Source organism: Homo sapiens, chromosome 17 (genome assembly GCF_000001405.40).
Source record: "Homo sapiens chromosome 17, GRCh38.p14 Primary Assembly".
Classification (NCBI taxonomy): domain Eukaryota; kingdom Metazoa; phylum Chordata; class Mammalia; order Primates; family Hominidae; genus Homo; species Homo sapiens.
In genome coordinates, this window is record NC_000017.11 from 58,730,613 (window position 1) to 58,745,442 (window position 14,830).

Sequence of the window (14,830 nt, forward strand, 5' to 3'; positions counted from 1 at the left end):
GGCAATTTCAAAATTAAGAGAGTAACAGATCATAGCCAAAATGTCCTTTTTGAATTGTCTTTGAAAACAAATCATTCTATTTTGTGTAAGTAAATGACCCTTATAACTCTGAGAATCTTATTTTCCTCTAGGTTAGAATCTGTATTTTTTAGATCAGTTTCATTACATTGTGCTAAAACATGTATATAACATAAAATTTACCATTTTATGTTTACATATAGTTCACTGGCATTAGGTACATTCATATTGTGCAGCCATCATCATCCATTTTCAGACCTTTTTCATCTTCCCATACTGAAACTCTGTACCCATTAAATGCTAACTCATTCTTTTTTACCCCCAGCCCCTGACAATCACCATTCTACCTTCTGTCTCTGAATTTTACTCCTCTAGCAACCCCATATAATTGGAATCATATAATACTTGTTCTGATGTGACTGGCTTATTTCACTTAGTATAATGTCTTCAAGGCTCATTTATGTTGTAGCATGTGTCAGAATTTTCTTCCTTAAGTCTGCATATTCCATTGTATGTACATACCACATTTTGTTTATTCATCTGTGGATGCACACTTGGGTTGCTTCCACCTTCTGGCTATTGTGAATAAGTTACAGTGTATCAGTTTTAAAGTAATTCTTAAAAGCAGTTTTTTTTTTTTTTTTTGAGATGGAGTTTCACTCTTTTTTGCCCAGGCTGGAGTGCAATGGCATGATCTCAGCTCACCGCAACCTCTGCCTCACAGGTTCAAGCGATTCTCCTGCCTCAGCCTCCCGAGTAGCTGGGATTACAGGCATGCGCCACCACACCCGGCTAATTTTGTATTTTTAGTAGAGATGGGGTTTCTCCATGTTGGTCAGGCTGGTCTCGAACTCCCGACCTCAGGTGATCTGCCTGCCTTGGCCTCCCAAAGTGCTGGGATTGCAGGCGTGAGCCACCGCGCCCAGCCAAAAAGCAGTCTTAAAGGTTTTTGTTTATATTTGTTGCTGTTACAGTACTTGAATATAGTTAATAAGAGCTTAGAAATTTATTTCTCAGCTACTTTTAGCTTTCAGTTTTATATTAATTGTATAAGACATAATAAAATCCCACCTAAGCAGATCTTGTTCTGTCATGACTTATTTTTGGGACATAATCATTTTATATTATTATTTTTGTAGAGATGGGGGTCTCACTATGTTGCCCAGGATGGCTTCAAACTCCTGGTCTCAAGTGATCCTCATGCCTTGCCCTCCTAAAGAGCTGGGATTACAGACATGAGCCACCATGCCTAGGTGCATCATTTTAAAACAATGTCGTCCTAGCTATTTTTATTGGGTGTAATATGAGTAAGTGTTTCTCATTTGTAGTATAAGAAATTATCATAATTCTTCAGCAATAATTAAAAAAACATGATTACTGCAGACAGTTTGGAAAATATAAGCAAGCAACCTTTACCTTGTGATAACAGCTTTTAACTTCTTGATTGTAGTCTTCTATCAATTCTTTTAGATGTGCGTATACATACTTATAAATATGGGATAATACAGTATAACTATTATTTAGTATATTATTAATACTTTCCTATCTCATTGAATATTTTCTTCCACGTTTAGTTTTTAGCATAAGTAATATCTCATCATATGTAAAATAATTTATTTGAATCAGTCATTGGACTTTTAGGTTGCTTTAAAATTTCATATAAACTCTGTTATATACATACGGGTAATTTGAAGGGTGTATTTTTAATATTTCTCTCCTTTTTGTGTTCTTAGAGAAAAAATAGAATTATTAATATAATAAACCTATACATTTAAATAATGAGTTTGGTCATCTGAACTTTTAATTAATTAAGTTCATGTGTTTGTATGTATTTATTCTTTTTCTTTAAGCAGGTTGGCAACATTGTACAAGTCACCCAGCCAGAAGGAATGCACAGTACTGTTTCAAATCAAAGTCAGTATTATTTGATTAGAGTGGGATTTTGATATTGATGGGCGGTAATTATCTAAAGAGAGAATTTACAACTTGCTTCTGTCAACTTCTGTAGGCAGCAAGCATATTTGAGGACAGCTTTTGATGCTTAGAACATTGTCCCCAAAATAGTAGTATATACAGAATATTGTAGTCACAAATGGACTGAAATTTATTCTTAAGAGCAGAGGAAATACTTATTTTGGGGTAGTGTGTTCCATGCCATATGTAATGTCAGGATATTAAAAATCTTTAAAGTGAAAGTTGTTGAAGATTTCCAGAAAAGAAAAAATACTAACATTACTTATTTTGGTCTGTAGGTATTATAGATCTATTGTAGCACCAAATATAGCCCACTTTAAGATGTTAATTCTTCTGTGAATTTACATCATAGAACACACATTTTTTGGCTGAAATATGCATATTTATCAATAGTGTTGAGCCAAATATATTTTTGGCATCTCTTTTTTTTTGAGATGGAGTCTCTGCGTCGCCCAGGCTGGAGTGCAGCGGTGCAATCTTGGCTCACTGCAGCCTCCGCCCTACTGGTTTAAGCAATTCTCCTGCCTCAGCCTCCCTAGTAGCTGGGATTATAGGCGTGTGCTACCACGCCTGGCTAATTTTTGTGTTTTTAGTAGAGATGGGGTTTCGCCATGTTGGCCAGACTAGTCTCAAACTCCTGACCTCAAGTGATCCGCCCTTCTCAGCCTTCCAAAATTCTGGGATTACAGGCGTGAGCCACCGAGCCCGGCTTTATCTCATTTTTATAACAACAAAAACAGAAATAGAGATTCTGAAACTGAATTATCCACTTAGTCTTTGCAGTACCCAGGTGTACTTGAAATATCCTAGTTGGGGAAAAAAAAGAGAGAGAGAAATATCATAGTTGGAAAACTTTAGAGTATTTAATTATGAAAATAAATCTGTAAAGTACCTAAGACTTAGGTTATTTCCTTTTACTTCTAACAAAGCTATCGTAAAGTTTGTTAGGATTGACCTTTAGAGAACATTTTTATAATGCAATGTTATTTCTGTGCGTGTGTATGCAAGGGTATAAATAAGTATATATAAAATACTCTTAATATAGCCCGGGCTTTGGCACGTATCCATGAGGTTTATTCTCTTCATTCACAGTGGTTGATAAATTTCTATCTCAAGAACTTTCTTTTTTTTTGAGACGAAGTCTCACTATTTCGCCCAGGCTAGAGTGCAGTGGCACAATCTTGTCTCACTGCAACCTCCGCCTCCCAGGTTCAAGCGATTCTCCTGCCTCAGCCTCCAGAGTAGCTGGGACTAGAGGTGTGTGCCACCATGCCCAGCTAATTTTTATATTTTTGGTAGAGATAGGGGTCACCATGTTGGCCAGGCTGGTCTTGAACTCCTGACCTCATGATCTGCCCACCTCAGCCTCCCAAAGTGCTGGGATTACAGGTGTGAGCCACTGCGCCTGGCCCTAGAATAAAGTAGCTTTCTTATTAGTTACTTAAAAATATTTCTAAGATCAGTCTTCAAATGTTCTTAAAGCATATTTGTATATATATTTTTTATCTTTCAGCCTCAGGGATTTAGAGATACTGTTGTTACTTCTGCATGTTCATTGCAAACAGAAGGTTCCTTGAGCACCCGGAAACGGTCACGAGACCCAGAGGAAGAATTATAACCCAGAAACAAATCTCAAAGTGTACAAATTTATTGATGTTGTGAAATCAATGTGTACAAGTGGACTTGTTACCTTAAAGTATAAATAAACACACTATGGCATGAATGAATCCAGATCATATGAAGTGAATGGGAAAAATACCTAAATATGATTCTGTGAAAGTTTTTCTAAAGCAGTATTCTGCAATTATATTTTACCCTGTTTTCATTTTCAGTAACATTCAGTAGAGATGATTATTATATTTCACAAATGTGGAAAGCTGATCTCATGTGGCCAGTCTGAATTTACCATTCATACTGTTTTCACCCCTTTCTTTCCCAGTTGCCTATAAAATCTTAGGAAGAAACATATCATATTCTTATTGTGTTTTTTTTTTTTTTTTTTTTTTTGGAGATGGATTCTCGCTCTGTAGTCCAGGCTGGAGTGCAATGGCGCAATCTCTGCTCACTGCAACCTCCGCCTCCCAGGTTCAAGCGATTCATCTGCCTCAGCCTCCCGAGTAGCTGGGGTTACAGGCACCTGCCATCGTGCCTGGCTAATTTTTTGTATTTTTGTAGAGACAGAGTTTTACCATGTTGGCCAAGCTGGTCTTGAACTCCTGACCTCAGGTGATCTGCCTGCCCCTGCCTCCCAAAGTGCTGGGATTACAGTCGTGAGCCACTGTGCCCAGCCATGTTCTTTTTAAATGTAAATTTGATAATTCTTTAAAATTACCCGCTTTTATAATTATAAAAGAGAAGCCAGCACCATGAGTCAGCATATTATTCTGTTCAGTTTTATAGGTAAGATACAAATTTTAGGTGACCAAACTGATTTTAGTGACCTCAATCCTAAAATCTAAGCCATTTGTTTAGCTTTTAATGACATTTTATAATGTTAAAGGGAGGACTTTGGAGCTGTTATCTCATCTAGAGATTGTTTGGAACATATGTCTTCCAGAATAGGTTGATAAGCTCACAATCATTTATTGCTACGTTTTTGTTTTTGTTTTGAGACAAGGTCTCACTCCGTCACCCAGGCTGGAGTGCAGTGGCATGATCATAGCTCACTGCAGCCTCGACCTCCCGGGCTCAAGCAATCCTCTCACTTCAGCCTCCTGAGTAGCTGGGACTACAGGGAGGCACTACCATGCCCTGCTAATTTTTGGATTTTTTTGTAGAGACAAGGTCTCACTATGTTGCCCAGGCTGGTCTCAAACTCCTGGTCTCAAGCGATCCTCTTGCCTTGTCTTCCCAAAGTGCTGGGATTACAGATGTGAGCCACCACACCTGGCCTCATTTCTATATTTTGAAACACGGTATGATCCATTCTAGAATTCTAGTTGTTATGTTGACATTTTTCTTTGAATAATCTTAACTTTGCTTAAATAAATTAAAGATTTCAATTCTCGATGGTTTCAAAATCACCTAAAAATATTTTCACACTTGGCTCTTAGTACTTTTCAACTTACTCACAAAATTTACTTTGGTTCCCTGTGGGGGAAAAAATAATTAATTTTGGGACAGAATCTCGCTCTGTCACCCAGACTGCAGTGCAGTGGCACAATCTTGGCTCACCGCAACCTCTGCTTCCAGGGTTTAGGCGATTCTTGTGCCTCAGCCTCCCAAGTAGCTGGGATTACAGGCATGCACCACCGTGCCAAGCTAATAGTTTGTAATTTTAGTAGAGACAGGTTTCTCTATGTTGGCTAGGGTGGTCGCGAACTCCTGGGGCTCAAGTGACCCGCCCACCTCTGCCTCCCAAAGTGCTGGAATTAACAGGTGTGAGACTGCGCGCCCAGCCATATTTATATATTTATTTTTAAACTATTATTTTAGGTTCAGGGGTACGTGTGAAGGTTGGTTACGTAGGTAAACTCATGTCACGGGTTTATTGTACAGATTATTTCATCACCCAGGAGTTAAACTCAGTACCCAATAGTTACCTTTTCTGCTTCTCTCCTTCCTCCCACCTTCCACCCTTAGGTAGTAGACCCCAGTGTTTGTCTGTTTTGTTTTGTTTTGTTTTGTTTTTTAAATGCAAGCTTGCTCTGTCACCCAGGTTGGAGTGCAGTGGCAGGATCTTGGCTCACTGCAACTTCCACCTCCTGGGTTCAAGCGATTATCCCGCCTCAGCCTCCAGAGTAGCTGGGATTACAGGTGCACGCCACCACACCCAGCTAATTTTTTGGATTTTTAGTAGAGATGGGGTTTCATCACATCCAGGCTGGTCTCAAACTCCTGACCTCGTGATCCACCCACCTCAGCCTCCCAAAGTGCTGGGATTACAGGCATGACCCATTGTGCCTAGCCTGTTTTTTCTTTTGTGTTCTTAAGTTCTCATCATTTAGCTCCCACTTATGGGTGGGAGACATGCGGTACTTGGTTTTCTGTTCTTGCATTAGTTTGCTGAGAATAATAGCCTCTAGCTCCATCCGTGTTCCTGCAAAAGACATGGTCTTGTTCTTTTTTATGACTGCAAAATTATTTAAATAATTGAATATTAAATATTGTAGCAGCAATATTTTCCAAATTTTAGTGATAGGTGTTACTTCCTATCCCAGACTAAACAGTAAATTTATAAAATTACTTCAGTGTAATTATTATTTTCTGCAATTGATTATATAGAATAGCCATCATTTACCAGGACTTGAGAGTGAAAGCAGGCACTGCTAACAATTATGCCAGTACAGAGGCTATAAACCAAGACTAACTTCAAATCACTTCTCTAACATAGAATGACTAATTGTGACTATCTTTTGTGGACCTCAAAGCACATTTTATTGTAATTGATGCCATCATTTTAACAAATACCCATCATTTTATATTCTGTCTTCTCAAATCATAAAATCCAGAGGAGGAGGGTGTTATAAGTGATAAATATCAGTGTTACCAAGCATCAGATGAGATAGATAAAATAATGTAGGATCTCTTTTTTTTTTTTTTTGAGACAGGGTCTTACTCTGTCACCCAGACTGCAATGCAGTGGCACGATCACTGCTCACTGCAGCCTTGACCTCCCAGGCTCAAGTGATGATCTTTCCACTTCAGACTCCTTAGTAGCTGGAAGTACAGGCATGCGCCACCATGCCCAGCTAATTTATTTTTATTTTGTAGAGACAGTCTCACGATATTGCCCGGTCTGGTCTCAAACTCTTGGGCTCAAGTGATCCTCCTGCCTCAACCTTCCAGAGTGCTGGGATTACAGATGTGAGCCATTTGGCCTGGCCTCCAGAATCTCTTTTTATAAAGTACCATAACACTGTACTTTATTTTATTTATTTATTTATTTTGAGACAGAGTCTTGCTCTGTTGCCCAGGCTGGAGTGCAGTGGTACAGTCTCAGCTCACTGCAACCTCCACCTCCAGGGTTCACGCGATTCTCATGCCACAGCCTCCTGAGTTGCTGGGACTACAGGCATTCACGACCATGCCCAGCTCTTTTTTTTTTTTTTTTTTTTTTGAGATGGAGTTTCGCTCTTCTTGCTCTGTCACCTGGTCCAGAGTGCAGTGGCACCATCTCGGCTCACTGAAACCTCCGCCTCCTGGGTTCAGGTGATTCTCCTGCCTCAGCCTCCTGAGTAGCTGGAACTACAGGCATACACCACCATGCCCGGCTGATTTTTCTATTTGTAGTAGAGACAGGGTTTCACCATGTTGGCCAGGCTGTTCTCAAACTCCTGATCTCACATGATCTGCCCATCTTGACCTCCCGAAGTGCTAGGATTACAGGCATGAGCTACTGCGCTGAGGCCCCTTAGCATTTTTTGTTACTTGGTTTTAACTGAGGATATGATAGTACACCTATGTCCCACACTTTATATAGGCTTGCCACCTAATGCTATGCCCGTAAATTGGTTAAAGTCTCACCTTCTGCAAACCAATGATTGTATCCAGGTTTCATCTTGTGGTTAGTTTGACAAATCAGCTCAGAAGTATTTTTTCTTAGGAAAAATAAATTGTATTTTTAGCTTCAATTTTCGGGATATGCAACTTAAAACATATTTATATAGTTCTTTATTATTTATGAAACACTTTGGCCAGGCACAGTGACTCACGCCTGTAATCTCAGCACTTTGGGAGGCCGAGGTGGGCGGATCACCTGAGGTCAGGAGTTCAGCACCAGCCTGGTCAATATAATGAAACCCCATCTCTACTAAAACTACAAAAATTAGCTGGACGTGGTGGCACATGCCTGTAGTCCCAGCTACTCGGGAGGCTGAGGCAGGAGAATCGCTTGAACCTGGGAGGCAGAGGTTGCAGTGAGCTGAGATCAGGCCACTGAACTCCAGCCTGGGTGACAGAGCGAGACTCCATCTCAAAAAGAAAAAAAAAAAACACTTACACATCATTTTATTTGATCCTTCTAGCAGCTCTGTAAGGTGGATGTGATAGGCTAGCCTGTCTGCTTTTCATCTTTCCTTCCTTCCATCCATTTAGTGCCTAACACACATTTAACTACTTTTTGAAACAATATTTCAAATAAGATATAGAATAAATTCTGTGTTTTTTTCTTTTTTCTGTTTTTTTTTTGTGTGTGTGTGACCCTGACATGATATGAACAAATTCTGTTTTTCAAATGGTCAGATGAAAATACTATTTGGTCATGACTAGGATGGTGTTTATGAGCCTGTTTGATTACAAATATAAAATTAATAGTTTCTTGGTTTTATGTTTACTTTTTTAATATGGTAAAATAGCTATACATAAAATTTGCCATTTTAACCATTTGTAAATATACATTTAAATGGCAATAATTACATTCGCAATGTTGTGCAGTCATCACCACTAATTTCTAAAACTTCATCACCCCAGACAAAAACTCCCCATTCTACACTCTCCCCAGCTCTTGATAATCTTTAATCTACTTTGTTTCTCTGAATTTGCCCACTGTAAATATATGTGAAATTATACTATATATGTATATGTATGTGTATATATATGTGTGCGTGTGTGTATATATGTGTGTGTATATATGTGTATATATATCTTTATATATATGTCTGTGTGTGTGTATATATATGCATATATATATATGTTGTTTTTTTTTCCTGGAGACAGAGTTTCACTCTTGTTGCCCAGGCTGGAGTGCAACGGCGCCATCTTGGCTCACTGCAACCTCCGCCTCCCGGGTTCAAGCGATTCTCCTGCCTCAGCCTCCCAAGTAGCTGGGATTACAGGCATGCGCCACCACGCCTGGCTAATTTTTTTTGTATTTTTGGTAGAGACAGGGTTTCTCCATGTTAATCAGGCTGGTGTTGAACTCCCAACCTCAGGTGATCCGTCCGCCTCGGCCTCCCAAAGTGCTGGGATTACAGGCGTGAGCCACCGTGCCCGGCCCACAATATTTTTATTTATTTAAGCCAGGGTGTTGCTAAGTTATACAGGCCTTGAACTCCTGCACTCAAGGCCTCCTCCCTCTTCAGCCACCCAAGTTGCTTGGTCTACAGGTCCATGCCACCATGTCCGGCTAACACTGTTCTTTTTATGTCTCAATTATTTCACTTAGCATAATGCTGGTTTTCTTTTTTGTTTTTTGGGTTTTTCTTTTTCTTTTTCTTTTCTTTTCTTTTTTTTTTTTTTTTTTTTTTTGAAGCAGGGTCTTGCTCTGTCTCCCAGGCTGGAGTGCAGTGGTGTGATACTGGCTCACTGCAACCTCTGCCTCCTGGGCTCAAGCGATTCTCCTGCCTCATCCACCCGCGTAGCTGGGTCTACAGGTGCAGGCCACCGCACCCAGCTAATTTTTGTACCTTTTGTACAGACGGGGTTTCCCATGTTGCCTAGGCTGGTCTTTAACTCCTAAATTCAGTTGATCTGCCTGCTTCAGCTTACCAAAGTGCTGGGATTGTAGGCATAAGCCACCACACCTGGCCTTAGCATAATGTTTATAAGATTTATCCATATTGTAGCATATATAAGAACTTCATTTATTTTTATTGCTAAATAATATTCCATTGCATGTATATATCACGGTAGTCCCCCTTTAACCAAGGGGAATACACTCTAAGACCCCCCAGTGGATACCTGAAACCAAAGGTAGTACCACACCTCTATATATATGATGCATGAATTTTTTTCTTCACAATTTCATGGATAGAAGACTCTTTTTTTTGTTGTTGTTGTTCATTTGTTTGTTTTTTTGAGACGGAGTCTCGCTCTGTTGCCCAGGCTGGAGTGCAGTGGCGCGATCTCAGCTCACTGCAAGCTCCGCCTCCCGGGTTCACACCATTCTCCTGCCTCAGTCTCCCGAGTAGCTGGGACTACAGGCACCCGCCACCACGCCCGGCTAATTTTTTTGTATTTTTAGTAGAGATGGGGTTTCACCATGTTAGCCAGGATGGTCTCAATCTCCTGACCTCGTGATCCGCCCGCCTTGACCTCCCAAAGTGCTGGGATTACAGGCGTGAGCCACTGCGCCCAGCCAAGACTCGTTTTTTGTTTTTGTTTTTGTTTTTTGAGATGGAGTTTCACTCTCTCTCTCGCCCAGGTTGGAGTGCAGTGGTGTGATCTTGGCTCGCTGAGACCTCCACCTCCCCGGTTCAAGCGATTCTCCTGTCTCAGCCTCCCAAGTAGCTGGGATTACAGGTGTGTGCAACCACACCCAGCTCATTTTTGTATTTTTAGTAGAGACATGGTTTTACCATGTTGGCCAGGCTGGTCTTCAACTCCTGACCTCAGGTGATTCACTTGCCTCAGTCTCCCAAAGTGCTGGGATTACAGACGTGAGCCACTGCGCCCGGCCAGAAGACTCGTTCTTACCATAGCTCTTAGCAATGTTGGCATAACTTTTTTATTAAATCTACAATTTTCACCTTTTCACTAAAAAGAAGAAATTTATGGCTTCTCTTTAGCATATCCTAATCGCCAGCATCACTACTCTTGCAATTTGGCACCATTATTAAGTAAAATAAGGCCTATTTAAACTGAAACACTGCTATACCAACACCTGACAGTTGATCTGATAACCGAGCCAGGTATTAAGTGACTAACGGAGCAGGTAGCATATACAGAGGGATGATTCATGTTCCAGGCAGGACAGAGCAGGATAGTGCAAGATTTCATCATGCTACTCAGAATATTGCACAATTTACAACTTACGAATTGTTTATTTCTGGAATTCTCCATTGAATATTTTTAGACATCAGTTGACCTCAGGTAACTGAAACCATGGAAAGTGAAATCACGGGTAAGGAGAGACTACTACTGTACATTTTGTTTATCCATTCATCTGTTAATGCACGTGTCCCCAACCCCCAGGGCACGGACTGATGCTGGTCTGTGGCCTATTAGAAACTGGGTTGCAGAGCAGGAGGTGAGTTCTGAGGGAGAGAGCAAAGCTTCATCAGTATTTATAGCCGCCCTTCATTGCTCAAGCTCTGCCTCCTGTCATATTAGCAGTGGCATTAGATTCTCATAGCCCGAACCGTATCGTGAACTGTGCATACAAGGAATCTAGGTTGCATGCTCCTTATGATAATCTAATGCCTGATGATCTGTGACTGTCTCCCATCACCCCAAGATGTGTCCATCTGGTTGCAGGAAAATAAGTTCAGGGCTCCCACTGATTGTTGTGTAATTATTTCATTATATATTACAATTTAATAATAGAAATAAAGTGCACACTAAATGTAATGTGCTTGAATCATCCCAAAAGTATCCCCCCTGCCCCTCGTCCGTGGAAAAATTATCTTCCATGAAACCAGTCCCTGATGCCAAAAACGTTGGGGACCGTTGTGTTAATGGACATTTGGTGGACATTTAGATTGGTTTTGTTTTGTTTTGTTTTTGAGACAGAGTTTTGCTCTTTTGCCCAGGCTGGAGTGCAGTGGCGCGATCTTGGCTCACTGCAACGTCCGCCTCCCAGGTTCAAGCAATTCTCCTGCCTCACCCTCCTGAGTAGCTGGGATTACAGGCGCCCACCACCATGCCTGGCTAATTTTTGTATTTTTAGTAGAGATGGGGTTTCACCATGTTGGCCAGGCTGGTCTCGAACTCCTGACCTTGTGATCCGCCCTCCTCGGCCTCCCAAAGTGCTGGGATTACAGGCGTGAGCCACCAGGCCCGGCCTTGTTTGGTTTTTTTTGACACAGGGTCTTGCTCTGCCACCCAGGCTGGAGTGCAGTGGCACAACCGTGGCGCACAACCGTGGCTCATTGCAGCCTCCCAGGCTCAGGTAATCCTCCCACCTCAGCCTCCCAAGTAGTTGGGACTACAGGCACATGCCACTATATCCGGCTAATTTTTGTATTCTTTATAGAGATGGGGTTCCATCATGTTGCCCAGGTTGGTATCGAACTCCTGGGCTCAAGCGATGCCACCACCTGGGCCTCCCAAAGTGCTGGGATTACAGACATGAGTCACCAGGCTGGAGTGCAATAGTGTGATCCTAGCTCACTGCAACCTTCAATTCTTGGGCTCAAGCCCTCCTCCCACAGTAGCCTCCCAAATGCACATCACCACACCTGTTTTTGTTTTGTTTTGTTTTGTTTTGTTTTGAGACAGAGTCTCGGTCTGTCGCCCAGGCTGGAGTACAGTGGCACAATCTTGAGTCACTGCAACCTCCACTTCCCAGGTTAAAGCAATTCTCCTGCCTCAGCCTCCAGAGTAGCTGGGACTACAGGTGCCCGCCGTCATGCTCGGCTAATTTTTGTATTTTAAGTAGAGACGGGGTTTCACCAGGCTGGTCTCAAACTCCTGACCTTAGGTGATCTCGTGATCTGCCCACCTTGGCCTTCTAAAGTGCTAGGATTACAGGTGTGAGTGAGCCACCGTTCTCGGCACCCCCCCTTTTTTTTTTTTTTTTTTTTTTGGAGACAGAATCTTACTCTGTCACCCAGGCTGGAGTGCAGTGGCTCGATCTTAGCTCACTGCAACCTCTACCTCTCGGGCTCAAGTGGTTCTCATGCCTCAGCCTCCTGTGTAGCTGGGATTACAGGCATGCACCACCACACCCAGCTATTTTTTGTATTTTTAGTAGAGATGGGGTTTCACCATATTGGCTAGGCTGATTTTGAACTCCTGACCTCAAGTGATCCCCCACCTTGGCCTCCCAAAGTGCTGGAATTACAGTCATGAGCCACTGCACTTGGCTCGTATATTAGCTATTCTTATTTTTCTCTCTACAGTATTTTACTTTTCTTGTTGATAACCTTCTTACTAAACTGTTTGCAACTAGTGATAAAATTACAATATAATGTGGTAGAAAGAACATGAGACTAGAGTTGGAAGATGTGCATTTTAGTTGCATGTGAGATGTTACCAAGCCATGTCAGTTTTGGCACCTTTATTTTCTCATATCTTTACCTTATTTCTCAAAGAAGGTAAGACTAAATGATTGCTAAATTCATTGGTCTAAATTTTATGGGTTTTGCTTTTGTAGAGGCAATATTAAATATTCACTTTAAATGATCAATACTGGAAACATGGAAAGGAGTGACATTTATACACTTTTATTTTCAAAATCAATAATATTAGGGATCCCAATACAATACATTGCATTTCAGTTTTGAGACTAATGTTGAAATGTCATATTGCTTTAAAAAATAAAACAACAACATTCAGTTGAAGAAGAGAGGCTGGCTGTTCATAATATGTATTTTTAGTTAACGTCAGTGCCTAAATTTACTGTTACTGTTAAAATTTACAGAACATTTTGCTCCCTCAAAACTGATTTTGGCATAAAATATGTTGACAAGATTTTATGTATTTTTGACCACAGTATATTCCTTTGCTTGTTTTCAGTTTTTGTGTACCATTGATATCTGATGATGTCCTTTTATGTTTCAACTATCCATTTGACTCCCATTATGTGTAGTTAAGATGTAAGTTTTTAGCTACCGTGACTCTGAGAGTGATTTTATGTGAAGTTTATTTTATGATGATTTAAAAGTTGGGCTCACGTCAGAAGGGCTTGTGAAATTACAGAAATTATGTCCTACTCACTTTGAAAATAAAAAATTAACACAAGATAAAAGACAAAAGCTGAGGAGCCAATTAATTAGAATTTGTATCAGGAATTCTTACAAACCAATGCAAAGAAGAAAAAATTGGTTATAGAATAGTCTTGGCCTAACGATAGGAAGTATATCAGTTTTTCAAGAGAAAAGGTGTTTTCTGGCTGTTGTTTTTTATTTGTGTTTTAATTAAATTTTTTTCCTAAGTAATATTTGTACAGGATTTAAATTTAAAAAGCACAGGATTTAAAATTCAATGAAAAGTATGTTTCATTTTATCTCCTGTTTCTGAGTCACTTTCCTTAATTTCTTTTTCTTTTTCTTTTTTTTTTTTTTTTTTGAGACAGAGTCTCGCTCTGTTGCCCAGGCTGGAGTGCGGTGGCATGATCTCAGCTCACTGCAAGCTCGGCCTCCCAGGTTCACGCCATTCTCCTGCCTCAGCCTCCCGAGTAGCTGGGACTACAGGTGCACACCACCATGCCCGGCTAATTTTTTTGTATTTTCAGTAGAGAAAGTGTTTCACCATGTTAGCCAATATGGTCTCCATCTCCTGACCTCGTGATCCGACTGCCTCGGCCTCCCAAAGTGCTGGGATTACAGGCGTGAGCCACTGTGCCCGGCCCCCCTTAATTTCTTTTTAGGAGGCAAACATTATTACCAGTTTTTTATATGACCTCCCAGAGCTATTCTATGTATCTAAAATATAAATACATTTTTTCTTCAATACTCAAATAAGATACACAGTGTTCTGCAACTAGTTTTTGTATCAGTACATGTAGAATTTTCTCAAATAAAAAACTGCTGGTCAGGCAAGGTGGCTCATGCCTGTATTCCCAACACTTTGGGAGGAGGCATGGGAAGATCTCTTAAGCCCAGGAGTTGAGACTAGCCTGGGCAATATAGGGAGACTTCATCTCTAGAAAAAATAATTTTAAACAATTAACCAGCATAGTGGCCTACATCTCTTGTCCCAGCTATTTAGGAAAGGAGTTCCAGGCTGCAGTGAGCTATGTATGATTGGGCTACTGGACTCTGGCCTGTCTCTCTAAAAATAAATAAATAATTGCATATGCCATTCCATTGAATTAATATCCTATTATTATTATTTTTATTTATTTATTTATTTTTTGAGACGGAGTCTCACTCTGTCGCCCAGGCTGGAGTGCAGTGGCGTGATCTCGGCTCACTGCAAGCCCCGCCTCCCAGGTTCACGCCCTTCTTCTTCCTCAGCCTCCCTAGTAGCTGGGACCACAGGCGCCTGCCACCACGCCCAGCTAATTTTTTGTATT

At 40.9% G+C, this 14,830-nt stretch overlaps 1 protein-coding gene and 1 long non-coding RNA gene across 8 annotated transcripts in view; one reads left to right on the forward strand and one right to left on the reverse strand.

Moving 5' to 3' along the window:
- The window catches only part of RAD51C (RAD51 paralog C), a 43,039-nt gene extending 38,040 nt beyond the window's left edge, over positions 1–4,999 (forward strand). For 3 of the 6 annotated variants that reach the window (NR_103872.2, NM_058216.3, XM_006722002.5), the window contains 2 exons: positions 1,872–1,932; positions 3,506–4,999. Coding sequence is in view for 5 of the 6 variants with exons in the window: in NM_058216.3 (NP_478123.1) it covers positions 1,872–1,932; positions 3,506–3,610 (166 nt within the window). In the remaining variant the exon portion in view is untranslated. Of the gene's footprint in view, positions 1–1,868; positions 1,933–3,505 lie in introns of all 6 variants that reach the window. The other 3 variants (XM_006722004.4, XM_006722001.5, XM_011525094.3) reach the window with 1 other exon arrangement.
- LOC105371843 (uncharacterized) overlaps positions 1–14,830 on the reverse strand; it is a 31,958-nt gene that overhangs the window by 6,460 nt on the left and 10,668 nt on the right. Inside the window, exon 2 of one of the 2 annotated variants that reach the window (XR_007065865.1) lies at positions 7,459–7,532. The exons of the other annotated variant lie outside the window; for it this stretch is intronic. This is a non-coding gene — a long non-coding RNA (uncharacterized LOC105371843). The remainder of the gene's footprint in view (positions 1–7,458; positions 7,533–14,830) is intronic. 2 annotated transcript variants of the gene reach the window in all.